This window comes from Homo sapiens, chromosome 11 (assembly GCF_000001405.40).
Source record: "Homo sapiens chromosome 11, GRCh38.p14 Primary Assembly".
NCBI classification, from domain to species: Eukaryota; Metazoa; Chordata; class Mammalia; order Primates; family Hominidae; genus Homo; species Homo sapiens.
The window spans coordinates 35,126,514-35,150,782 of NC_000011.10; the positions used below are offsets into that span (position 1 = coordinate 35,126,514).

The 24,269-nt window shown below is 44.8% G+C and overlaps 1 protein-coding gene and 1 long non-coding RNA gene across 45 annotated transcripts in view, besides 6 other annotated features; one reads left to right on the forward strand and one right to left on the reverse strand.

The window, feature by feature from the left end:
• Positions 1–290: an enhancer, noted in NCBI's record as "active region_4617". NCBI's record gives its function as "activates an Ori minimal core promoter by ATAC-STARR-seq in GM12878 lymphoblastoid cells {active_cell/tissue: GM12878}" and the evidence as "EXISTENCE:reporter gene assay evidence [ECO:0000049][PMID:35858748]".
• CD44-DT (CD44 divergent transcript) lies at positions 6,137–11,519 on the reverse strand. Its single transcript, NR_120528.1, has 3 exons — positions 11,185–11,519; positions 9,833–10,113; positions 6,137–6,627 (listed from the first exon to the last, which is right to left on the reverse strand). It is a non-coding gene; the product is annotated as a CD44 divergent transcript (long non-coding RNA).
• Positions 11,823–12,387: an enhancer, noted in NCBI's record as "H3K27ac-H3K4me1 hESC enhancer chr11:35159883-35160447 (GRCh37/hg19 assembly coordinates)". NCBI's record gives its function as "activates a minimal SCP1, AML or CMV promoter by ChIP-STARR-seq in naive H9 embryonic stem cells {active_cell/tissue: H9 hESC(naive)}" and the evidence as "EXISTENCE:reporter gene assay evidence [ECO:0000049][PMID:30033119]".
• Positions 12,298–12,367: a silencer, noted in NCBI's record as "silent region_3255". NCBI's record gives its function as "represses an Ori minimal core promoter by ATAC-STARR-seq in GM12878 lymphoblastoid cells {active_cell/tissue: GM12878}" and the evidence as "EXISTENCE:reporter gene assay evidence [ECO:0000049][PMID:35858748]".
• Positions 12,658–24,269, forward strand: part of CD44 (CD44 molecule (IN blood group)) — a 93,232-nt gene continuing 81,620 nt past the window's right edge. For all 44 annotated transcript variants that reach the window (NM_001440324.1, XM_011520482.3, XM_005253232.4 and 41 more), the window contains exon 1: positions 12,658–12,857. In NM_001440324.1, coding sequence (NP_001427253.1) covers positions 12,791–12,857 — 67 coding nt within the window. In that variant the 5' untranslated portion in view covers positions 12,658–12,790. The remainder of the gene's footprint in view (positions 12,858–24,269) is intronic.
• Positions 13,555–14,055: an enhancer, noted in NCBI's record as "H3K27ac hESC enhancer chr11:35161615-35162115 (GRCh37/hg19 assembly coordinates)". NCBI's record gives its function as "activates a minimal SCP1, AML or CMV promoter by ChIP-STARR-seq in naive H9 embryonic stem cells {active_cell/tissue: H9 hESC(naive)}" and the evidence as "EXISTENCE:reporter gene assay evidence [ECO:0000049][PMID:30033119]".
• Positions 17,778–17,827: a silencer, noted in NCBI's record as "silent region_3256". NCBI's record gives its function as "represses an Ori minimal core promoter by ATAC-STARR-seq in GM12878 lymphoblastoid cells {active_cell/tissue: GM12878}" and the evidence as "EXISTENCE:reporter gene assay evidence [ECO:0000049][PMID:35858748]".
• Positions 17,998–18,057: an enhancer, noted in NCBI's record as "active region_4618". NCBI's record gives its function as "activates an Ori minimal core promoter by ATAC-STARR-seq in GM12878 lymphoblastoid cells {active_cell/tissue: GM12878}" and the evidence as "EXISTENCE:reporter gene assay evidence [ECO:0000049][PMID:35858748]".

Sequence of the window (24,269 nt, forward strand, 5' to 3'; positions counted from 1 at the left end):
TCTCCAACTGGGGACCAGAGAAGCCTGCCACTGCTTACCAGAGGGAAGGGAGAGGTGACCTGAGGGCTGCCCCCTGAGCATCTGCTCTGCTCTGCAAGTGAGTTTCCAGATTGCGTGTGATGAGAACAGAAACAAAAACTGCAATTACTTTTGCACCAACCTAATATAAAAGGTCTGAATCAGGCCACTAGGAGCTGACACTCTGTGGGTGGGGGAAGAAAAAGGGACAAACCCAGTCTGAGGAGGTGGCAGGCAGCAGCAAGACCAAGGTGGGGAAGAAAGAGTGAAATTAAACCAAAAAACTCCCCAAAACAGTCATATATTTGACTGGTGGGAGGGGAACTAGGGCAAGAGATAGGAATGAAGGGAAAATAAGGAGAGGATGCAAAATGAGAAAGTGAGGAGGACAGAGAAAAAGAGAAGGGGAGAAAAAGTGGGAGAAAAACAGAAATTAAAAGAAGACAAAAAGGATGGGGAGGTTGAGAAAGGTTAAAAATATCTGGGAAATTGGTAGAATCGTCATCATTCTTCTGCATCCTGGAGAAAGCAGGAGGCACCTGTTGAATGCAATGATTTGGGGAGCAGGCACTGTTCACTGGATGAGGGGCGGCTTCTCCATTGGGCGAAGCAACGGAAATGTTGTTGTTGGTTGGTTTGTCTGTGGAGACATGACTCCCCCATGCTGGATGTCCCCTGACCCACAACACTAGGTGAGAATGGAGGAAGTTTTCCATCCATGAACAAGGGCAAGCAATGACTTGGAGAGTACCAGCAACCACCATTGGTATAGCTCCATCTGGACTGGGACAGAGGACATTGGTTACTTCTGAGAAAGTCAGACTTAGGCATAACTGGGGCTAAAGCCAGCTGGGTGTTTCTGGGTTTTCCCTTGTTTTTTTTTCTGAGTGCTCAGAGTTCTCATGCCCTCACCCACATCTACGACCCTGGGTCAAACATCCTGGGGAGGAAAGATCATCTAAACTCATTGACCCAAAGGCAAAGGGACTGATCAGACTTTAAATGCTCAGATGGTAGACTTTGGGGCATCAGCTGGCTGGCAGACGAGGGGCCAGAAGGACCTTCTCTGAAGGACACCATAGGGTGCCTTGCCTCCTGCTTTCTCGTCTTTGTCAGTGTCATTCAGAGTCCCCTGTTGGGACCACTCACTATGCTTGTGCTGTGGGCTGGGTGTAAGATTGGGCCAGATCCCCAGCCCCCATTTCCCACAGGACTAGTGTGAGCATGAGAGGCTTCCTTTTCACTTCTAATGCAGATGTATCGAGTCCACCTAGCATGTGTTGAAAACTGTCCTCAGGACAAGGGTGTTTCCATAGAGGTGATCTCAGAGCCACTCAACATGTGTGTGTGTGTGTGTGTGTGTGTGTGTGTGATGTTTACTGAATCTTAATGTTTTTAAAATAATATTGCTCAATTCAAAAGTAATATACATATTTTTATAATACATGTACAAAGCCACTAGTAGAAAGAGTTTAAAATTACCAATAATGTAATAATAGTATTGTGGTTAAATAAGGGTTTAAAAGCCCTTATCTTTTAGAGATACATACTGAATATTTACAGATAAGTGTATATGATGTTTGGAATTTGTTTCAAAATAATCCAGCAGTTGGGGAGGAGGTAGGAGGTACAGACAGATAACAAGGGCTATGAGTGGATAATTGTAGAAGCTGGGTAATGGCTGTGTGGAAATTCATTATAATTTTCTCTTTACCTGTATGTATTTATGATTGAAATTTTCCATAATTAAAGGTTGTTTTTGGCCGGACGCGGTTGCTCATGCCTGTAATCCCAGCACTTCGGGAAGCCGAGGCTGGCAGATCTCCTGAGGTTGGGAGTTTGAGACCAGCCTGACCAAAATGGAGAAACCCTGTCTCTACTAAAAATACAAAAAATTAGCCAGGCGTGGTGGTGCATGTCTGTAATCTCAGCTACTCAGGAGGCTGAGGCAGGAAAATCGCTTGAACCCAGGAGGTGGAGGTTGCGGTGAGCCAAGATCACGCCATTGCACTCCAGCCTGGGCAACAAGAGCGAAACTCCAACTCAAAAAGAAAAGAAAAAGAGGTGTTTTTTTTTCTTTTTTTTTCTAAAAGAAAAAAAATTTTATCTTCCTTTTGTGCCATATGTATCTTTCCATTAAACTTTCACTTATTTCAGAACAAAATCACCAATGGTCCCACCTCACGTCAGTCCCTTTCCTATTCATAGATAAACATAGAGATGTTGAAAACAAGACCTTATTGATTTGGTCAGTTTTAATGTTTTGCACAGTCTATTTCAGAGTACAGTGAACAGGAGCTCTTCGAAGATGGAGGCATGCGCAGTGAGTGAGGCTCACCCAGGTGTCTCCGTTTTTATCATTGTTTGTGGTGTGACAGGTGCAGTGGACCTAGGAAATAAGTGAAGAAATGAGTACAGACCAAGACATCAACATGCACAACCCCCCATTAGAAGAAGAAACAGGGGAAAAGACTCAGAGGAGGAGCAAGGGATGGAGAGAGAAGTGTAGCAAAGACAACAGCTTCCTGAACTCCACGTTCTTCTCTTTCCTCTGGACTCACAACTGGACCACATAACCTTTCCAGCTTTCCTTGCAGTTAGGTGAGGCAACGCGACTGGGTTCTGGCCAATGGAATGTGGATGGAAGTGAGGGTCCCACTATCAGGTCTAGCCCATAAAAACCTCACAAACAATTCTCCTCCATACTCTTTTTCCTTCCACCAACTGAATGGAAGTGACCTCAGTGAACTCGGAAGTCATGTATTGAAAATTGCAGAGTTTGGCCGGGCACGGTGGCTCACGCCTGTATTGCAGCACTTTGGGAGGCCGAGGCGGGCGGATCACGAGGTCAGGAGATCGAGACCATCCTGGCTAACACGGTGAAACCCCGTCTGTACTAAAAATACAAAAAATTAGCCCGGCGTAGTGTCAGGTGCCTGTAGTCCCAGCTACTCAGGAGGCTGAGGCAGGAGAATGGCATGAACCTGGGAGGCGGAGCTTGCAGTGAGCCGAGATTGTACCACTGCACTCCAGCCTGGGCGACAGAGCCAGACTCAGACTCCGTCTCAAAAAAAAAAAGAAAAAAAAGAAAAAAAAAAGAAAATTGGAGAGTCTCTATCAGCCTGAATTGTTTATCCCTCTTCACCATCCTATCTAACCAGAAACCCTTACAAGTATTAGGTAACCACAGGATAAATGTGTATGTGTTTAAGCCGTTTTACCTCGTAGCTGAAATTGGACCCAAAACACAGAAAGATAAATTAATCTGAAAGGCAGAATGAAAGATAGGCTATAGCTGTATCTATAAAGACAAGGGAAAATATAATTTTAAGGAAGGGTGAGTCAATAATAACAATGACTGTTTTTTAGACCCTGCCATATTCTAAACTCTTCGATAAGTTGAATAGATGCATGATTACATTATATACTTTAATTTTCATGATAATTATATCAAGCATTAAATGGGGATCTTAAGCTCAAAGAGGTTGAGTACAGTGCCCAAAATTCCACAGCAAATAAACAATGCTCTTCAACAGCATATCATCTTACATCCAAAATAATAAGACTAAAGAGTCAGTTAAAGTGACTTGCAGAATAGTGGATGGGATTGAGCCAGGGAAAGTGGGGCGTTTATTGGGCATCAGATGGTGAGGATTGAGTAACAGGACGCTGCTCATCCATCAAGATCTGGCCCGAGTACCCTTCCTCTCTATAGAGACTTTTTGAGCTACACATGTTGGTATCACCACTCTGAATTTCTTTTTTTCTCTTTTTTTTTTTGAGTCAGAGTCTTGCACTGTTGCCCAGGCTGGAGTGCAGTGGTGCTATCTCTGCTCACTGCAAGCTCCGCCTCCTGGGTTTACACCATTCTCCTACCTCAGCCTCCTGAGTAGCTGGGACTACAGGCACCCACCACCATGCCCAGCTAATTTTTTTTGTATTTTTAGTAGAGACGGGGTTTCACCGTGTTAGCCAGGATGGTCTCCATCTCCTGACCTCATGATCTGCCTGCCTCAACCTGCCAAAGTGCTGAGATTACAGGCATAAGCCACCACACCTGGCCTCTGAATTTCTTTATTATTTACTACTCCTTACCCAGTGCATTACAAGCTTCCTTAGAGTATTACTGGACTTGTTCTAAGGTCGATTTATATGCTAGATTTTTACTGCTTACTCACATTGGGTTCTTATCTACCTTTAGGCAAATGGAAGGATTACCCTTCCCCAGTCATCTTGCACTTAGGTGGGATCATGTGACTAACTCTAGCTAATGGGCTGGGAAAAGAAGTGACATCTATTATTTCTGAGACAAAGCATTTAATCACTGGCATGAGGCCTTCTACTATTCTTTTTCCCTGCTGCAGCAATTGTGTTACGAGACAGAGGTAGCACAAGATCAGTGAGCAACTGCATGGAAGACAGTTGTTTTAGAGAGTTTCCTGAACCCACAGCCAACTTAGCATGGCAAGAAGTCACCTGGGTGATTGTGTGAAACCAATGAGACTTTGCTTATGTTGTTACTGCAGCACAACTCAGAGTACTTTGACAAATACAATTTAATCTTCCATCATGATCAGAGATGTCAAATATTAATCATCAGTGTTACCACTGCCTCATGCTACAGACATGATGTATATTATTAATCCATCAATGGACTTTTATCCATTGAACTGTAAAGCCTCAGAATCTTTCTCATCACAGTGAACTAAGCAGTCATTATTAATTGATTAGAGGTGAAAATTAGGGGAAACCCACTAAAGTCATTCCATTCCACTCGGCATAAAATCCAAACTTCTTACTGGGGCCTGCAAGGGTGCACAAGAGCTGGCTTTACCTTCCTCTTCAATCTCATTTCCTACTACTTGCTTTCTCATTCACTCTGCTCCATCCACATTAACCTTTTTGGTTCCTCAAACACACTAAAAATACTCCAATCTCAAAGCCTTTACATTTGCTTTGCACTTTTTTTTTCATGTAAATTTGCCTGAAATGTTACCTCTTCACCCAGACCTTCCTAGTCTACCTTATTAAAATTGCCTGCACCCTCCACCCACTTCCTCGATGATAATAAAATGCCAGTCTGTCTTTTTGTGCTGTTGTATTTTTGGAATTTAGAGTAGTGCCTGGAATATAGAGGTGCATACAAAATAGTTCTTAAACTAATGAAGGCAACTGATCTGCCAACTCTGATCTAGATCATAGTCTCTGAAGAGAGAGGGCAGGTCCTCCTCATCTGTGGCTTGTCCTCTGTGGCGAATCCATGTAGTGCATACAGAAGGTGTCCATTAAATTCCCATTGGATGATTAAAAGACTTTTATTTTCCATTGCTTCATCATGGAGTCACATCTGTGTCTTTTGCCTTCTTTCACCTTCATAAGCTCTCTCAAGACGTCTCTTCCTTTCTCTCTCCCTAGCCCACCCTCCCCACATCCTCTCCCATTAAAGTTCAGTTCAACAAGTCTCTTTCTCACCCACGCCATGCCTTCTACAGCAGCATTCTTCTGTGGCTGGGAAACAGTAGCCAGCAATAAAATGCGTTTTGGCCTGGCCTCACATCCATGTTCTGTACCTATTCCTTTTCTACAGGATTTGATGCTAAGCCCAGTCAGGACTTGGCAGGAGCCTTATGCCTGTACGTTAGAGCCCAGAATTTCTACCCTTTGGGTGTTTTAAAGAGAAGCAGCTGTTACCATCTGCCAGATGAAAGGTTTTGCCCTTTGAAAATAGACTGTGAGGCATGTTCAGGCAGACAGGGGCTCTCTGGAGAAGATCTGGGAGGATGGGACTCGGAAGACCTGCCACTCATTTGGATTGACATACAACTGTAGGCAAAGTATCAGAGATGTCTAGTTTCTATCACAACGAAGGAGAGAGAACTGTATTCTTTGGGTAGAATGGGATGATGTGGGGAGGGATTATAGGTGAGGCCAACTGGTGAAAAGAGCACAGACCTCAGAATCAGAAGACCTAAGATTTAGAGTCAAAGTCCTGAATTCAAGACCCAGTGGTAGGGGCATCCGCCATCCACTTGAGCCACTGTTTACTCTTTTGTAAAATGGTGTGATGCTCTCCTATATTCATCAAGTCTTTTTGGTTGCAACGGAAACCAGCTTATGCTAATGTAAACAGAATAAAAGGAATTTATTGGAAGGATCTGACTGCATTCTTGCCATTGGCTTCTGTGAGGCACAAGTGTGTCAAGAATGGACTAGAACAAGAAACCCGAAAAGTGTTAGAACTCTAGAAGTATTTCCTGCGTTTCTGTGAGCTTCTGGTTTATTCTTATTTCCCCTGCTTCTCTGTCCTCATGGAGGTGTATTGCTGCCCCACAGCTTCCAAGTTTGTGTCTTAAACCTTCAGCCATGCTCTAATCCCAAATGTCAGGAACAAAGACTCTGACTGATCAGGATTGCTTTAGGTGTCTACTACGGGGTCGAATCAGTCCTGGGCATGGGAAGTAGGGGTCACATAGTACAACTGTGGCTGCCAGAAGCTGCTCTTCACAATCTGGATGAAATATTCAGAGAAGGAACTATAACTTGTGGGTTGGGCCACAAATCCAAAAAGGGTCTTGTGAGTATTATCGTCACTGAATAAACTCTCAGGTGCTGCAAAGAGAAAATGGTGTTATTTCTAGTCAGAATATACAACCATCTCACAATGATACTCTAAGGAATCAAGGCATAGTCCTATGCAAATCTAAAATTGTCCATTGAATAGCCACGGTCCGAGTCTACACATTTAAAGTTGTCTTATTCTAGGATTCTAATTTGTCAGAGGGCTGTGAGAGTCAACATTCTCCATTCTCTACCTTAGCAATACTCTTTTCACCTCCTCCACTCCAACAAAAGCTTCCAAAGGAAATCTTCCTTCTTAAAAGAAACTGATTTCCATGATTCAGAATAAAATTTAGTAAAGACTGATGAATTAGGACTCCATTAATTTAGCATTTTTGCTACATCAAGAATCAAAAAGGGATTAAACTTTTCTATCCCCATATCTCTTAAAGCCAGGAAAGATTTGCTAAGTGAAATAAAAATGTGACTTTGGACAAGTTTTGTAACCTCTCTAAGACTTTGTTTCCTTATCTGTAAAATAGAAATTAACTTTTCATAGGATTGTTGTGACAATTAAATGACATTAGGCTTGACATGTAGAAAGTACTGGCTATTAGCTATGATGTTGAAGATAATGTTGGTTGTAGTGATGGTAGTAATAACTCTAGTGGTGATGGTGGATAATGGTAGTGGTGGTGGTGATGATCGTGGTGATGATAGTGGCAGTGGTGATGGTGGAGGTGGTAGTGGTGATGATGGCAATAGTGGCAGTGAAGGAGTGGTGATGATTAATTATGACAGAACCAAGAATGTATAAATTGTTCTCAGCACATAGTAGTCACATAGTAAATGAGTGCAGAGAACAAGCAATTTTTAGATAATTACAAGGCTCTTAGTTACCATTTACATACCAACCATGGATATGTCCAAAACAAATCATGCTTAAATGTTCATCAAAACAGATTCCTAAAGCCTTCCAATAGATGTTTAACCACTTTGTATGAAGTGGAGAGAAGAGGAATAAATATGAATTTTAGTTACTACATGAACATAAAATAAATATAATTAAAAATAAATATAATTACATTCCCTTAAGTAATAGTGCATAAAATATAGACTGTTTTGCTTGTGTTCCTTCCAGTTAGCTTGCTACATAAAGCCACATACCATTAATTCAAATTTCATCGTCAAAAATTCACATTTCTAAGTTTGTTATCATCCAAGTCTAGGAATTGTCCTATCTGCATACTATTTTAACCTCCAAAGGTCTGCGTAAAACCCATTTTGTGGCTAACATGGATCTATCTAAAAAATCCAGTTGCATCTCTCCCCTTGGGACTTCCAGGGTGCAGCAGCCACACCAATTTCTTTATTTACCATAATTTGAAAGCCTTATTAATCCTAAAGGCTCAGCTCTATAATCACATTTGGTTAGCTTGAGACTAATCCTTAGAGGTTATTTATTTTTCATGAAGATTGCTTCCCAGCTACTGGTTTATTTAGACTTTACTAATAATTATTTCGCAAGAGCTTTTTTCACCACTGCTCATTTATATGTGTAGAATTCACACTGTGAATATGAACTAAGGATGAATTTTTTTAAGAGTTAAGGTTTAACTGGAATGTCATTTTTTCTTTACTGTGCCAGATCATTCCTTTTCTGGGAAGCTGTCCCGTGAAATAATTAAATATTGTCCCTTTAAAAGAGTCTGTGACCTGCTGCATTTGTAATCCTTGAATTCCATGATTCAGCCCAAGATCTCCCAGCTTTCCATTTCACACTCCTGCTCACATTTGGTTTAGATTTGGCTTTTCTTTGCTCGAGAGGAACAGGATTTATTACTACCAGTCAGAAGCCATCAGTCCCCAATATTTCAGCAAAGAACCCTAGTCTGCCAGAGTGAGTAATGCTCTGTTTGCACTCAAGTCTCCCTGAACCAGTCACCCCAAATAGGATGTCACTGCTTGCATTTATTTAGAAACTGTCAAGTTGTCTATGTGTTTCCTCCCACCAGTTCATGTGATTCCTGAAACACCCCTATGCGCTTTGATGGGAGGGAAAAAAAATAACAGTCCCTCATACATTTATGTAATGCTTATTTATGGAGCACAGTGTATATGTTAGGGACTGAGAGCTGAGTATGTGCTGGCACCCCAGAAGGACATGTCCCTGTTCTCAGGTAGCTTAGAGGTCATTGAGTCCCACCATGAGGCAGGCACACCAGGAAATGGTCTTGATGTCTTCTTTCACTGACTACTCATAATAAACTATGGGAAAGGTCTGATTACCCTTGTTTTGTGGCTGGGATTACCGAAACTCCCAGAGGTTAAGTCATCCTCTGATAAGGGGGAAAGCCAATGCTCAGACCTGGACTTTCTCGGTCCAAGGCTGCTGATTGAATTCTGGATTCTTCCCAAATAGTGTAATCTCGTGTCAACTCAAATCAATTCAAGTTTCCTTTCCAGTTTCCCACATCCCATGGTTTGGCTTAGAAAGAAAGATGGTGCAACACACAACAGATATCAAGCATCTAAGAGTTTGGGAAGGGTTTGTGTGACCAGTGGTGTGGGCAGGGTGTCTTTAGAATGGAAAGTGGATGAGAGGGGAGCTCAAAGAGGTGATCCAGGAATTCCCAAAGGTGGACCTTGACTCAGTAAGTCACCAGGTCTGTTATTTGAAATGAGTCATTTGTGGTATGGGGGCAAATGACCTCAGTCCCTCACCAAACTATCGGGAAGCAAGCAAACAAAATAATCCCCGCTTCTGGGGAGAATAATCCTAATTACAGCCCCTAGAATTTGCATGCCCTTCTACAGTTTGCAAAGCACTTTCACACCTATATTTTCCTTGGTGGAATTGTTTACTGCACTAATGGAGAAGGGACCAGGACTTGATATGGCCTAGTTTGTTGGTTTTTATATATTTTTTAAGAATAATCATCTGTCAAAATGTAATTTCATGCAATAGTCTGGTATATAAAACTGATGCAAGTGGAACTTCTGTGGTTGGGATGGGGCCTGGGGAGGGAGAGGCACAGCTTACTCCTCAGCTTTTACTCTGACCACTAGGTCTGCTTCTGAGGGGTCTCTAAGGAACCTCCAGGTTCCATGAAACACAGTAAGACAGACATTGTTCCTAGTGACTCCCCACGTCACTTCACTTTCTTGCTCCAAGAAAAGGAAGCTGAAATCCCTGGAGGTTGCATGAGGTGAAAAAAGCTGCTCCTTGTCCTGTATTCTTGTGCATGGAACCTACCAGGGCTGGTTTCCTCACATGAGTAGGGACTGAAGCCTTATCTGGGAGCCAGTTTGCCCCCAGTTGTTTCAAGAAATAAAGTGTCCTCTTGGTCACAGACAGCAGCAGTAACAACTTTTTCCTGCGGACTGGCAGCATTTTCCAAGCACCTGCTCTTCAGGTGGGAGTTACGGGTCACTGTCTTCATTCCAGACGGGCGGCTCTTTGAGTCATGGCATGCCAGCTTCTGAGTGGCTGAGGACTAGATCCAGACAAGGATTTTTCAGTCCCAAACACTCTTCCTGAAAATGCAAGAGGAGTAGTCTTTAGTCAAACAGAATCTCCACAACTGAAAAATTTATACCGGACTAGACAGTGGTAGTGGTTGCACAATATTGTTAAAGTACTACACGTCACTGCTATAAACACTTTTAAATGGGTGAAATGGTAAATTTTATGTTATGCATATTTTAACATAACAATGATAATAATTTTAACTAAGTACGTTGCCTCCTTATTTCCTACAGGGTCAAGTTCAAACTCCCTGGCATAGCTTACACCTTGTAGTCCCCATACCTGTAACCTCATGTCTGCTATCTTCCCCCAGCCCCTTCATCTGATCTATGTTCAGATCAGCTCACATTGCTCTCTATTCTCTGGACAAGCCATGTTCTTTCACTTTTCTATGCTCAAACACAATTTTGCTTTTAGTAATGATAGCAAACACTTATTTAAAGTGCTTACTGCATGCATATGTAGACATAAATCTACGGCTTAATACATGCAGGGCTTTTGAGTCATTTAATCCTCACCAATTCTATGAAGTAATAGAATTGTAATAGTAATAATAGATACTATTATTAAGCCCATTTTATACTTGAGCAAATTGAGCTAATTGCCTTAGGCAAGGTCACACAACTAAGAAGCAGCCATAATAGGGTTTGGATCTAGGTGTTCTAGCTCCTGAATCCATGCTGTTCGTCACTACACTGTACTGCCTGTGGATGACTTACTTGTCCCTGTAGTTTCATCTGAAGAATTCCTCCTCCTTTTCCTTTGAGGCCTGCCTCAAATATCACTTCCCCTGTGAAGACTGCCTGGTGTTCTCCAGGAGAGAGTGTGACTCCCTTCTCTAGGAATGGTAGCACCCCAAACACACACATTTTGCAGCATATTTCACCTTGCATGGTAATGGCCTGCTTGTGAGTTTTATTCCGTACCAGAGGGTGAGGGCTCTGAAGATAGCGCCAGGTCTTATTTACCTCGATACCCCACAACACTCATTACATGTCTGATGAATGAATGCATAGGGGGATGGCTGGGTGCATTTCTCTCAACTTTTCAATTTCTTGAAATAAATAACAAAATCTTACCTTCCCTCAGAAGTCCTGGCATGGTTCCTTTCATCTTGCCACAGCCACTGATAATCACTTTCATTTTCTGTGTAACTCACCAGGCAAGAAGTCCATGCAGATTTACTTTTAGTAGTTCACATGACAAATAAATACTGCGTTTGATTTCCAAACATTAAACCATAGTATATTATAGATAGATATAGAGTTATCATTCAAAGTATGATATTTCAATCTCAAAAGGCTTCCCCTGAAGAATATTACAAACTCTTCCTCTCTTTAAGATCTGCTGGGTAGGAAAGATGGGAGAAAATGAATTAATGTTTACACAGAAAGGAGGATAATGGGGGCAAAAATAATAGATGAACGTATGGGTGGATGAGAGAATGGATAAAATGATAGGTGGATATGTTGATCTTGGACAGATGGGAAATGAGTGGATATATCAATAAACAGATATGTGGGTGGATGGGTGGAGAAGAGGATGGTGGATGGTTGTGGTTTTATGAAGAGATGTGAAAAAGGAAGTGTGGAATGATGGATGAGAAGTTGTATGGGAAGATGAATAGAAGAATAGGTGGTTGAATAAATTAAAAGGTGTGTGGTTGGATGAATGAATGAGTGGGATGATAGATGGACCTAAGTGGTTAGTGGATGGACAGGAGGATGGATGGATGTGAGAGCCCCAGAAGGACATAAGGAAAGATGGGTGGATAGATGGATGGGCGGATGGAAGGATATTTAGGAGGATGAATGAGCATGTGTGTGGAGAGAGGTGCCCATTCACACTGGCTTGAACACATGGGTTAGCTGAGCCAAATGCCAGCCCTATGACAGGCCATCAGTAGCTTTCCCTGAGCTGTTCTGCCAAGAAGCTAAAATTCATTCAAGCCATGTGGACTTGTTATTGAGGGGAAAAAGAATGAGCTCTCCCTCTTTCCACTTGGAAGATTCACCAACTCCCCACCCCTCACTCCCCACTGTGGGCACGGAGGCACTGCGCCACCCAGGGCAAGACCTCGCCCTCTCTCCAGCTCCTCTCCCAGGATATCCAACATCCTGTGAAACCCAGAGATCTTGCTCCAGCCGGATTCAGAGAAATTTAGCGGGAAAGGAGAGGCCAAAGGCTGAACCCAATGGTGCAAGGTTTTACGGTTCGGTCATCCTCTGTCCTGACGCCGCGGGGCCAGCGGGAGAAGAAAGCCAGTGCGTCTCTGGGCGCAGGGGCCAGTGGGGCTCGGAGGCACAGGCACCCCGCGACACTCCAGGTTCCCCGACCCACGTCCCTGGCAGCCCCGATTATTTACAGCCTCAGCAGAGCACGGGGCGGGGGCAGAGGGGCCCGCCCGGGAGGGCTGCTACTTCTTAAAACCTCTGCGGGCTGCTTAGTCACAGCCCCCCTTGCTTGGGTGTGTCCTTCGCTCGCTCCCTCCCTCCGTCTTAGGTCACTGTTTTCAACCTCGAATAAAAACTGCAGCCAACTTCCGAGGCAGCCTCATTGCCCAGCGGACCCCAGCCTCTGCCAGGTTCGGTCCGCCATCCTCGTCCCGTCCTCCGCCGGCCCCTGCCCCGCGCCCAGGGATCCTCCAGCTCCTTTCGCCCGCGCCCTCCGTTCGCTCCGGACACCATGGACAAGTTTTGGTGGCACGCAGCCTGGGGACTCTGCCTCGTGCCGCTGAGCCTGGCGCAGATCGGTGAGTGCCCGCCGCAGCCTGGGCAGCAAGATGGGTGCGGGGTGCTCAGCGCGGACCCGGCGGCAGCCCCTCCGGCTGAGTCGGCCCTGGGGGACTGGAGTCAAGTGAGCTGTCTGCGAAGTGCATTGGGCTCCGGAAAGCAGGGCTGGGATTTGCGCTAAACCGTTGGAGAATGTGTCTGTGGAAGCACCATTTGGTTGAAAGAAAAAGAGAAAGAGAAGAAAGTTTGTTGGGCAGGCTGCCGGCGCGCAGTTTTGGGCGAGGTCGCTAGAGCTGCAGCACATGGCAGAAAGTAACCGTTCTCCCGGATGCGCACAGTCGTTGTCTGGACTAACAGGCTCCTGTGCCCAAGGGCTCGCCAAGCCCCACCGGGCTGTGTCTAGGCAGGGCAGAGCTGGGCGGGGCAGAGACTGGGGCTGGAACAGGGCGAGTGGCTGTTATCAAGGTGGTCACAGAAGGGATCACAATTCCAAGTGTGAGACTAGCTGGCAATGGGTTTTCCAGAAAGGGGTCCTGGGTTCTCCCAGCTCCCCACTGAGCCTTGTTCCAAAGCTTACAGTCCGCAGTGTCACTGCCACCTTAGCGCTGTGGAAGCTTGAACCAGCTCTGCGGTGAGGTCTTGGGTCTCCATGAGATTCCAGCCTGGGATAGGGAGCATGAATATGAGAGGCAACCACTGGACCAGCTGCTTGGTCCTCACCACCTCCTGCTTCTGCCAATCAGTGTGGGGAAATCTCAACAGTAAGGTGGCTTATATTCCCTGCCTGGCAGCCTCAGAGCAGAGAGAAGAGCCTTGATACCAGGGCAACATCAGGGACCCTGGAGCTAGGGCTCCAATATCTCATCCAAACAGGGTCAGTGCTTTGTGGTGGCTATGGAGGGGAGGGGCTGCGTGTAAGGTATATTCTAGCACGGCTCAACTCCAAGCATTCTCTTTCTTTGTCTATGTATGTACAGATAATTACATGGCCGATTTGCTTATCGCTGGCCAAAATTAATCTTTCTTTTAAGAAGTGCCAGCTGGGTCATTAAGACAGCTCAGCCTGCATGCAGTAAATTCTACTCAGCAAATATTTATTAACCCAGTTCCACGGGAGTACTGAGAAATTGAAACACACAGTCTCACCCAGGTAGTTTAGATTGAGTACCCAGTATAAAGTATCTTGAATTACTTTCTGCTTTCTCTATCTTCCTACTTTCTGCAGTAGGAAGAAAGTGACCCTAGGTGGAGGCTAGGCAGGATGAGTTCTCTGTGCATATGCATCTCCCTTTCTGTGTGAGTGAGAGGTCTTTGCTAGGTGGGGATTTGGGGATCTAGGATTTATACTACTGAAGCTGAAATAATAATAATAATGATAGCAACAACACAGCCTGTCATGGTGGCCCATGCCTGTAATCCTAGGACTTTGGGAGGCTGAGGCAGCAAATTACCCAAGGTCAGGAGTTTGAGACCAGCCTTGGCCAACATGGTGAAACCCCATCTTTACAAAAAATACAAAAATTAGCAGGGTGTGGTGGTGCACACCTGTAGTCCCAGCTGCTTGGGACGCTGAGGCAGGAGAATTGCTTGAACCTAGGAGGTGAAGGTTGCAGTGAACCAAGATTATGCCATTGCACTCCAGCCTGGGTGACAAAGCGTGACTCTGTTAAAAAAAAAAAAATGAATACAGTGCTAGCTACCATTTACTGTATATTTTCACTGTGCCAGGCATTATGTTAAATATTTTCCATGTGTTATCTCATTCTACCCTCACAATGGCCTAGTAAGAAGCTTCCTGTTATCAGGCCTGTTTGACAGGAGGAAAACTGATGCTTAGAGACGTTAAGTGACTTGCTGGCATTCACATAGCCAGGAGCAGTGCTGGATGGAAACCCAGCTCCACTGAGCTCCAAAGCCTAGGCTTAGAATATGTTAGACTGTATAAGATGGACGAACTTGGAAGGATTTCAGGGAGGGAAGGATTTTGGTGGACTCTAGGCCTTAGGGAAAGTTCCAAAAGGGACTGGAGCTCAAATAAGCCCTTGAAAAGTGGAAACATTCAGGATGGGAGAGAAGAGTCAAGCTGGAGATCAGGGAGAGCCCTGGGCCTGGCCTGAAAGAAGAGGGCCCTGGTGGTTTCCCTATAGTCTCTAGGGAAGTTTATTTGTATGTTACCTACCAGTGCCATCTTCTGCTTTGTCTTTGGGCATTCTGACTCCTGACTCCTTCCAACCTGTCTCCCCGTTCCTTCTAAAAGGCCCCACTTCCAAATATTTGGCACTGTCCTAACCCTTGAGGTTCTCCCAGAGACCCGCAGTCTCCCTCCTGCCCCGTGTTTCCACGGCCCCTTTGCGCAGCATCATTTAGAGGAAGTACAATGAAGTGCCAGTAGCAATAACTGCCCCGGCCCTCGCTTTCATGTGCTTGTAAAGTTGTTTGGCAGGAACTGGGACTTGGAAAGGAGACATGACTTTGTCAGAGGGCTTGGGGCTGGGCATGGTGTGGGTGGCGAAGGGGAGAAGGAGGAAAGGGGAAGGAAAGGAGCTCTTGTTGCCCCATTCTGGGGAGTGGTGGACTCTGGACAACCACGAGGAAACTTTGGAAAGGAGCAAGGCTTTGAGGAGGAGTCCAGTCTTTGTATGGGAAAGCAAAAAGTGGAGAAATGGCCAAATGTAGTTAAGTGACATTGGACCCAGAAACTCTGAGTTGGGGAACAGATATCTTGAATTCGGGGTCTTGTGCAGGAGGAAGAAAGTGGCCCTTGGTGGAGGCCAGGGGGGATGAGTCCTTCATGCACATGCATCTCCTTGTCTCTGTGGGTGAGGGGATCTTTTTTTTTAATTATTATTATACTTTAAGTTTTAGGGTTCAACCATTGTGGAAGTCAGTGTGGCGATTCCTCAGGGATCTAGAACTAGAAATACCATTTGACCCAGCCATCCCATTACTGGGTATATACCCAAAGGACTACAAATCATGCTGCTATAAAGACACATGCACATGTATGTTTATTGTGGCATTATTCACAATAGCAAAGACTTGGAACCAACCCAAATGTCCAACAATGATAGACTGGGTGAGGGGATCTTTGCTTGGGAATTGCATGCCTGGTGTTGAGAAAGAGGAGAGCGTCTGAGAGCCCTGGGTCTTAGGGCTGGCACACACCTTTCTGCTCCCTTCTCTCTAATTGAGCATTAGAGACTCCGCCCCCTGCTGGGAGTTAGAACTTTAGCTGTGTTTTCCCATGTGAAGGAGCAAAGAGGCAAAGCTTCATCTCTGTTGGGGCTAGCATCAACTAATTCAGGTATTCCCCATTTACACATTGGACATCTACTTGCTGCAAAGGCATGGTGACAAGTCCTTGTGTGGGAGGCTGGCAGCCAGTAGGAAAATGTTCCATTTGTTTTTTCCCAAATTTCCCCACAAAGGAGGGGATGCTGGACAGCATGAAATTCTTAGTTCATGACAGATTCCCTTCCATTCATTCAGGAACTATTTCCTGACTCATTGTCATAGACTCAGAGATGGGAACTCTAAGGATCATTTAGAAAATCTGAAAGAGAGGGACTAGTGACTTCCCCTCTCTGCGACTTGTTAAGATATTAGGGCAGGGCATTTCTCTCATGTATCTCTATCATGAGGACTGTGGGAGCCTCAACCCCACCCCCTGCAGTGGGTGGGGAGGGTGTGGTCTACTGGGGTAACAACATTTGTTTCACACCTTAAATACTACCTTACAGACTCATTACAGTTTTATATATTACTCTACAATATACCCAATTTGAGTTTAATACAATAATAATGATATATATTTTTGACCATATAGCAATGTTGGTGTTCGACAATGATTCTCTGTATTGTCCTGGGGCTTCTAGCACCTCCTGGAACATCGCTAGATGGTCAGGAGCACCAAAGTTTTAAAAACCTGATGCTCTGCTGTGGTACCATATGGTCCTGTGTAAAGCAGGGTCCTAAGTCCTGAGTCTCTAGGAAATACTGCTCAGTGAGCACTGACTCTATACTAGATGTGAAGCCGGGGGTAGCACAGGATATCTTATCTAAGCCTCCCAACAGCCCAATACACCTAGCACTCTCTTTAACTCCATTTTCTAGATAAAGAGATCGAGACTTGTGGAGATGGCATGACTTGCCCCAGGATCCAGTGGTGGAGTTGGGATTTCCGCATTATCTAACATCCTCCCATGTTAGACTCCAATGCTTATGCTCCTTCAATTCATTACGTGTCTGGAGGACTTTGGAAGCTATACGTGGCTCTCCCACACTACCTGTCCCCTGTGGCCAGCATAAGTGAACTCTTGCATGGGTGGCTTCTCTCTCCATCCCCGGCAGGCTGTGGACTCTTGGCTGCCCTGCCCTGGCCTGTCTCTCCCCAGGTTTGGCCACAGATATCAGAGATGCCAACCAAGTTATTTGTAACTAAAATAAATCACATCCCTTATCAGAGTCCAGCTGCCCTCCCAGATATGCTCTGATTTACAGGCTTGGAATAAAGAGAGAGGTGGTTGCTTGTCTACAGGACAAGTTAGGGCAATGCCCTCTGCCTGAATATTAGGAAAGCAGCATTACAGGAGCTCTCACTCTGACCAGGCAAGCATTTCACATGCACAGACCCAGAGACCCACTCCTCACATGCTCATTAGTAGGTTGTGCGACCCTGGGTAGGAGGCTGACATGGGTCTTGAACTGAAACCCAGTGTGTGGCTCTAGGTGACATGTGGCCACCCAAGTGAGGTTTCGGATCCACCTGCAGTGTCAGATGCTTCAAGGCTGGGGTCCCCTGATGGAGAGGAGGTGGTTGGAGATCACCTGGGCCTCCTCAGCACTGCCTCCTGGCTGGGGCTGGGGCTGGGGATAAGAGAGTAACTGCAATTGTGCTTCCCCGGCACCTTCGCTTTAGGTCACTCCACCGAAGAGCCTGAAAGGGAAGTGGTTCTTGCGAAAGAATGAGCTGAAGCAGGTGGCAGATGCTACCAGGCACCGTGTAGTTTTCAAAGGGGATCTTTTTCTGCCTCAGAGAGAAATTCTGGGGTTTGCACAGCAAGAAACCGATGACTCAATTTCCTTTGTGTCCCTGCTTTAATGGGAAGGTTGTAGGCGTTCTTTAGAATGGCAGGGTAGGTTGATACCTTCTACCTTAAATTTGAATCCCACTTTTCACTCACTTAGCAGGTTGAATTTTTTTTAAGTGTACCCCCCACAGCTGCCCAACTGGGTTTGCGAGGCAAGCCCAACTTGCCAGAGTAAACCGGAAGGGGTGCTTTCTAAAGTTTGTGGTTCTGGAGTCTGGCCAGGCATGGATACAGTCATTGTGCGTTCCAGATTTTCTGGGAGAGTCAGGATCTCAAATATGCAAACACTCTACCAATTGATGTCTAGTGCATATTTTGACTAAATGTTTATATATTTTTCCACAAATAAATACATGACTTAATGTAATTGAAAGTCAAACACTTTTTAAAAATGCTTTTTGCATAAAGAAATTCACATCTTTACAACTCCTTAACTAGGATGGTGTCAATTAAATTAATGTTTGATTCAGGACATGTGTACTTTGGAGGTAAGTATTTCATATTCCTCCCCTCTCCATTGCTCAATTGCCCCACTGGGTGACGTACCAAGATAAGCCACATGTTTGATTCTTGTTTGCTGGATGTGGACATATGCACATTGCAGGTATGCCTATAAGTACATGCCTGAAGGATCTATGTGTGTGGTGGGAATTGGTGATGCCAAAGAATGCTAAAGACTTTCATGCCCCTTAAAGGGGAAAATAACCACAACAAAACAAATTCCAATGTATCTTCTCCTGTCTTCTGCAGCACTGGGGGAGTCCCCTGATAACAGGGATCATGTCACATTCATTTTTGTGGGCCCAGATCCCAGTAATATTGACCCATAACTGTTGAACTGCAATGAATGTCTAGAATATAAAAGTCATGATATCTATATATATGGAAGCATGCTGTCAGTATGGGCTAAGGTGCAAATACATTTATGTGTAAGTGAGAACCATGGTGATGGCTGTGTTGCTCAGGACAGGGCTGACTTGGCTGGCTGACTGCCCACCACAGGCCTCATGTTTGGTCTACCCCAAACAGTGAGCTCACCCATCTGTTTGTTTGCGGCTTTGGTGGCTGCCTGCTGTGACCGCTGGGGACATCTGGCTAAAGACAGGGTTACTAGATAGTTGGGCTGAGAAGGGAGTGGGAGCCAGTGAGATGAGGACACCAACCCCAAATTTAAGCCTCAAAACAAAAACACTCCCCAGCAGCAGCCACCTTGGGGTTCTAGTTATTTTGGAGATACTGATACGAGGTTGAGATCCTTGGGTGAGAGGCCCACACTCCTCCAACCCCCATGTCTGCTTCTGGAAGGTGGTGGCAGAGGAGAGAAGTAGAAGTACTATATGGGAGATGCGGGAGATTCTTGCCTTCTCTGTCGGTCTCTTTGGGCAATTATCAAGCTGTCATCTGACCAGATACTACCATAGCTTCTTCGGGGGCAAATCCGTAGGGAATCCTGACATCCGACGGGGAGCCACTTTGGCAATGGCAAACGGTGTCTCCTCTCCACAGAGCTTGTGATGTCAGAAATTACCCATAACTGGGGCAGGTTTTGTCTTCCCAAAGATTGTCTGCCCAGCTAGACCTGAGAGACAGGGAGACAAACACAGAATGAGGGGGTGGGTCTTGTGGGGGTGGGGAACGATGGAAACTCACAGAGCCAGATCTCCCCGAGTTTGAGTTGCACTGGCTGCCTGGGTGTGTCCTCCTGAGGTAAGTGTCCCTGCGAAGTGCAAGTGTGGGCAGACAGATCTCAGGTGGGTGGGGAGGGACTGAGTCACCAAGGAGGTGATTTGCAAAACTCAGGTCCCAGAAACTTTCAGGTCTTCAGCTTTTAAAAGTAAAGGTTAATTGCAAAACTCCGGGGTTGAGGGAAGAGATTATTCACATAGACCAGTCATTTTGAGCATCTGCTGTTGTGGCATTGCAAGTCTCCTTCGCAGTGCCTGAAAGTTCATTTGTTTTTGAGAGCTCTTACGCTTTTTCTGTTTGCATCTTTGCACAAGTTCTATGTTTCTGAGAACCCTCACCACTATTAGTAATAATAGCAAACACTTACAGAGTGTTGACCATGTACCAGCGCCATTCTAATTGTTTCCTATATACTGCCTTGTTTAATCCAAACACTGACTTCATGAAGGTGGTGCTGTTATTATCTGTCTTTTACATATGAGGAAACTGAGGCACAGAGAATTTAAGTAGCTTGCCCAAGGCCATGCAGCTGATAAGTGATGGCGCTGGGATTCAAACTCACATCTGGCTACAGAGTTCATGCTCTTTGTCACTATGTTAGAGTGCTTCTCTTGGTATATTAAGATATCGAGGCACCCTAGAAATCCAGACGATTGTACCTGGAAGTACTGTAGTTGTTTTCAAAAACTTCATTTGGGAATCTAGTTGTGGGTGAGGTCATAACATCCACTGAGCTTTTAAACATGATGTCAGAGGAAGGGGTTAGAATTGCAAAAATGAAGGAGGAGGAAGTTGTAATGGAAACTTCTGCCAATGCATATTCTGAGTTGACTCATTCATTCTGATCTCTGAATAGAAGCTCTACTCTCTTCCATGTGATGGAAAGTTGAGGATAGGGTAGGGCTGAGAGGGATGTGAATTGAGTTGTTTGTTCATTAGGATAGGATAGGGCTGAAAGGGATGTGAATTGAGTTGTTTGTTCATTATCACTTCATTATTTGTCACCTGGATGAAAGGTAAAGGTGGCTGATTAGTGTTTCTCCATCAGCTAGAACTTTGACTGGGAAATGAGCCAATCAAATAGCAGCAAAATATTTGCCCTCACCTTACAGGCCCTTGGTTCCAGGGTCTTCTCTCCACCGGCTAGAATGGATGAGGGAGGGAGAGAAACTCTGAGAAAAGAGGCTGTCAGGAGTAGGGCTGTACATATCCAGGGCACAAGGAATTTGGCAAAAGCTGGAAGTATACTATAGCCCTTCTCTCCAGCCCTAGCCTAAACCAGATGACCAGGCTTCTATTTGGCCCAGCATGTGACCATCCCATCAGGGAGCAAGAGAGTTTCCTCTGGGTACCCCTCACTGAGAAAAAAGCCACCCAGGAAGGGAGGAGGCAAGGCCCCCTGGGAACATCTGGCTCAGTCCACAGGAAGGGATGCAGGCCTTTTCCTGGGAATGAGGACTCATCCCATATTCCAGCCCCCTTCCCCCAACTTTTTTTTTTTTCAATTTTAGTGCATCTCTTTACACTTAACAGGTCTGCAGTGACTTCTAGGAGGATCCACACACCAATCGTGGAACTAGGCAGCATCTTTTTCCACTTCCTTTCCAAGATAGTAGCACGATAACAGTAAAGCCCCTTTGCAAGTGTTCACTATTATGCACATTAAGATGCCAGGGAGAGGGCTGGGAAAGGTGGCTCACACCTGTAATCCCAGCACTTTGGGAGGCCGAGGCAGGCGGATGACCTGAGGTCGGGAGTTCGAGACCAGCCTGACCAACATGGAGAAACCCCGTCTCTACTAAAAATACAAAAAAATTAGCCGGGCATGGTGGTGCATGCCTGTAATCTCAGCTACTTGGGAGGCTGAGGCAGGAGAATCACTTGAACCCGGGAGGCAGAGGTTGCAGTGAGCCAAGATCACGCCATTGCACTCCAGCCTGGGCAACAAGAGCGAAACTCGGTCTCAAAAAAAAAAAAGGTGCCAGGGAGAAATGAACAATTCCATGCAGCCAACACCTGGTCTCCTGCGTTTGGCTTAGAAGGGCATTTCTGCCCAAGCCCCCAGCTCTAGTCTTTGCACACTTTAAATGAGTAGCTACTACATGCCAATCACAGATGTTGCCTCTGCTGAGTATCCAGTCAAAAAACCAGAATCTAACAGAGCTAACTAAGCACCATCTTGCAGGAAACCAGCTGACGTCAGCTCCGCAGCCACCAGTGAGTTACTGGGCCCACATCTGCCTGCAAGAGGGGGAGGGGAATTCAGGTAACCCACAAGAGGGGATAAAAGTTCGGGGAAGAAATCTCCTGTCAAGGAGTTTGTTTTTGCAGTGGATCCTCTGCAGTGAGACTAGTTGTCTTTACAATATCATTAGAGGTCAGGTACATTCCTGTAGACTCCCTTAAGTGACTTGCTTTCTCCTATTGTTCCCCCTGAAAATTCATAAAAACCTCACAAACACATCTCCATTTAAAAAGAGAAAGTTTAAAGGATGCCATGTAATGGTTATCTCTTTTCTTTTGCCAGTGAGCATAAAAGCTCCTTAGGGAAAAGCCCAAACCCTCTATACATTTTCATATTCATGATAGCCCTGAGCGGTCAGCACAGTTCCCCAATTATAGTGGGTGCTCAATAAACACTTGGATGGCTTACTGAATTAATAATGTTTCTAGACTTGGCTAGCAAAGCCATCTCCGTTACTTATCTTTTGTGATTTTTATAGGTTCTGTCTAATTCTTTTTCTTCATTTTTTTTCTTTCTGGTCTATACAAATCTTCTTTCATTTTTCTCTATTGCTACTTGTAGCGATCCTCAACCCGCCTCCTCCCTTGAAATTTCTGTTCTCTGCACTCTCTTCAGTCTAAAGAGATCTTTCTTGAGGTTTGAAATGTTACACAAGGCAGGGGAAGTTTAGAGCTAATTGTATTTTGTCCAGTAGAACGGGGATCTGGATTTCCTATAGGTCTGGCTGCCTCTTTGTCTACACCTTTACTTCCAAATCTGGCCTCATGTATAAAAAGACCCCAAACCTTAAAATCATGTTCTCAACAATACTCAGAGAAAAATTGTTGGCTTTTTGGTCACCATGCTAGAGGAATAAAAGGGCAGTTGTTTCTTTCGGTCAATGGTTTGAAAACCTCCCAGACTAAAAATCACCTCCATATAATCAGATGCTTGGTGTGGTGTAATGAAGATGAGGAGGTCTGGCTTTGATAAGAGTCATTTAGAAGGTATAAAGGCAGTGGAACAAGACGGGAGGACCCATACACCAGTTGATTCCCCTCTTGCCACTTAACAGCAGCGTGAGCTTGGGCAGTTGCACTTGTTAAATGTCTGGAACAATACTTAGCACGTAATTTCTAAAGCTTAATGTTTAGTTCACAGAAGGTATCCCAAGAATAGAAATGATTATTATATTTTAGCTTCTCTCTATTACTGATTCACTATGTGCTGCTAGGCAAAGTATTTCACCCCCATTTACTTCTATTTTTCCATGTGTAAAATGCGAGGGTTGGATTCTAGTTGATCTGTCAAGTCCTTTCCAGGCCTCATGTTCTATAAATTCACCACTCTGTGGGCTTACTAACACCTGAGCCTCATAAAACCTAATGGAAAGAATAACACAAAACCACCATAAGGCAGTGTCAAAAAAAATTGATGCCTGATTTGTATTAAATGTCAAAAGTGAATTATTAATCCATGCCAGAAATAAACATATGGACCCAATTACACTCTAACTCCAATGGGCAAGAGTGTTGTAGGGACAAAGTGCTTTGCCCGTAGTACTTCATAGAATCCTCTAGACCATGTGGAAGGTGAGCAGATGAAGCAGCTCTGGCCAGAGAAGTTAGGAACATGTCCCAGTCACACAACTGAAACTGCAGGAAGTCAGTCCTGGGATTAACTGCAGGATCTGAACACTGTACTCTTTATATTGTACTTTAAAAACATTGCTTCACATGGCCAGAAAAGCCAACCTCTGAAGAAGAGAAAAATTGTTCCCTTCACTCTCAGAGCTTCATGAGCACCTTGGACTTGCCAGCTTTCCTCAAGCAACCCCTGTAACTTGTTGGCACAAAATTAACCACAATATTCAGACAAAGCAGTACTTACAGGGTGAGTGCTAGTATCCTATGCAACTAGGGTAGCCTGAGAATCTAGGGGAAAAAAAGCTAGACCAAACAAAAGATTATATATAATCTTTCCCCAAATCAAGGCACTGAGCAAGGCAGGCCTGAGAGATGGTGAATTTCTGCTTCTACTGAGAGTCCTCCAGACCCCCAGTAAAAATTTCTTTTCATCATAAAACCAGAGAAACTCTTGCTCAGGAAAAAGAAAGAAAAATGGAAATCATAAAGATTGCACGACTTAGGATTTTGTCAAAATGTGTCAGAGGCTATAATATAAGGCTAGTTTTTGGCATTCTGTCAGTCACTGAATGTCCTTCGTCAGATCACAGCTCCTTTTGGTTGTGCTGACTTTATACCCATCTGGAATCCACTGACCATTAGCTGAAATAAAATCCCAGATGTGCTCAGATCTCACATCCTGTGCAATGCCCTCAGTTATTGCTGATACGGTTCAGTCATCTGTCTCTCCAGCTAATCATACAGACACAGTATTCTAGGAGAAGTGAGAACCCACTCATAGCCAGG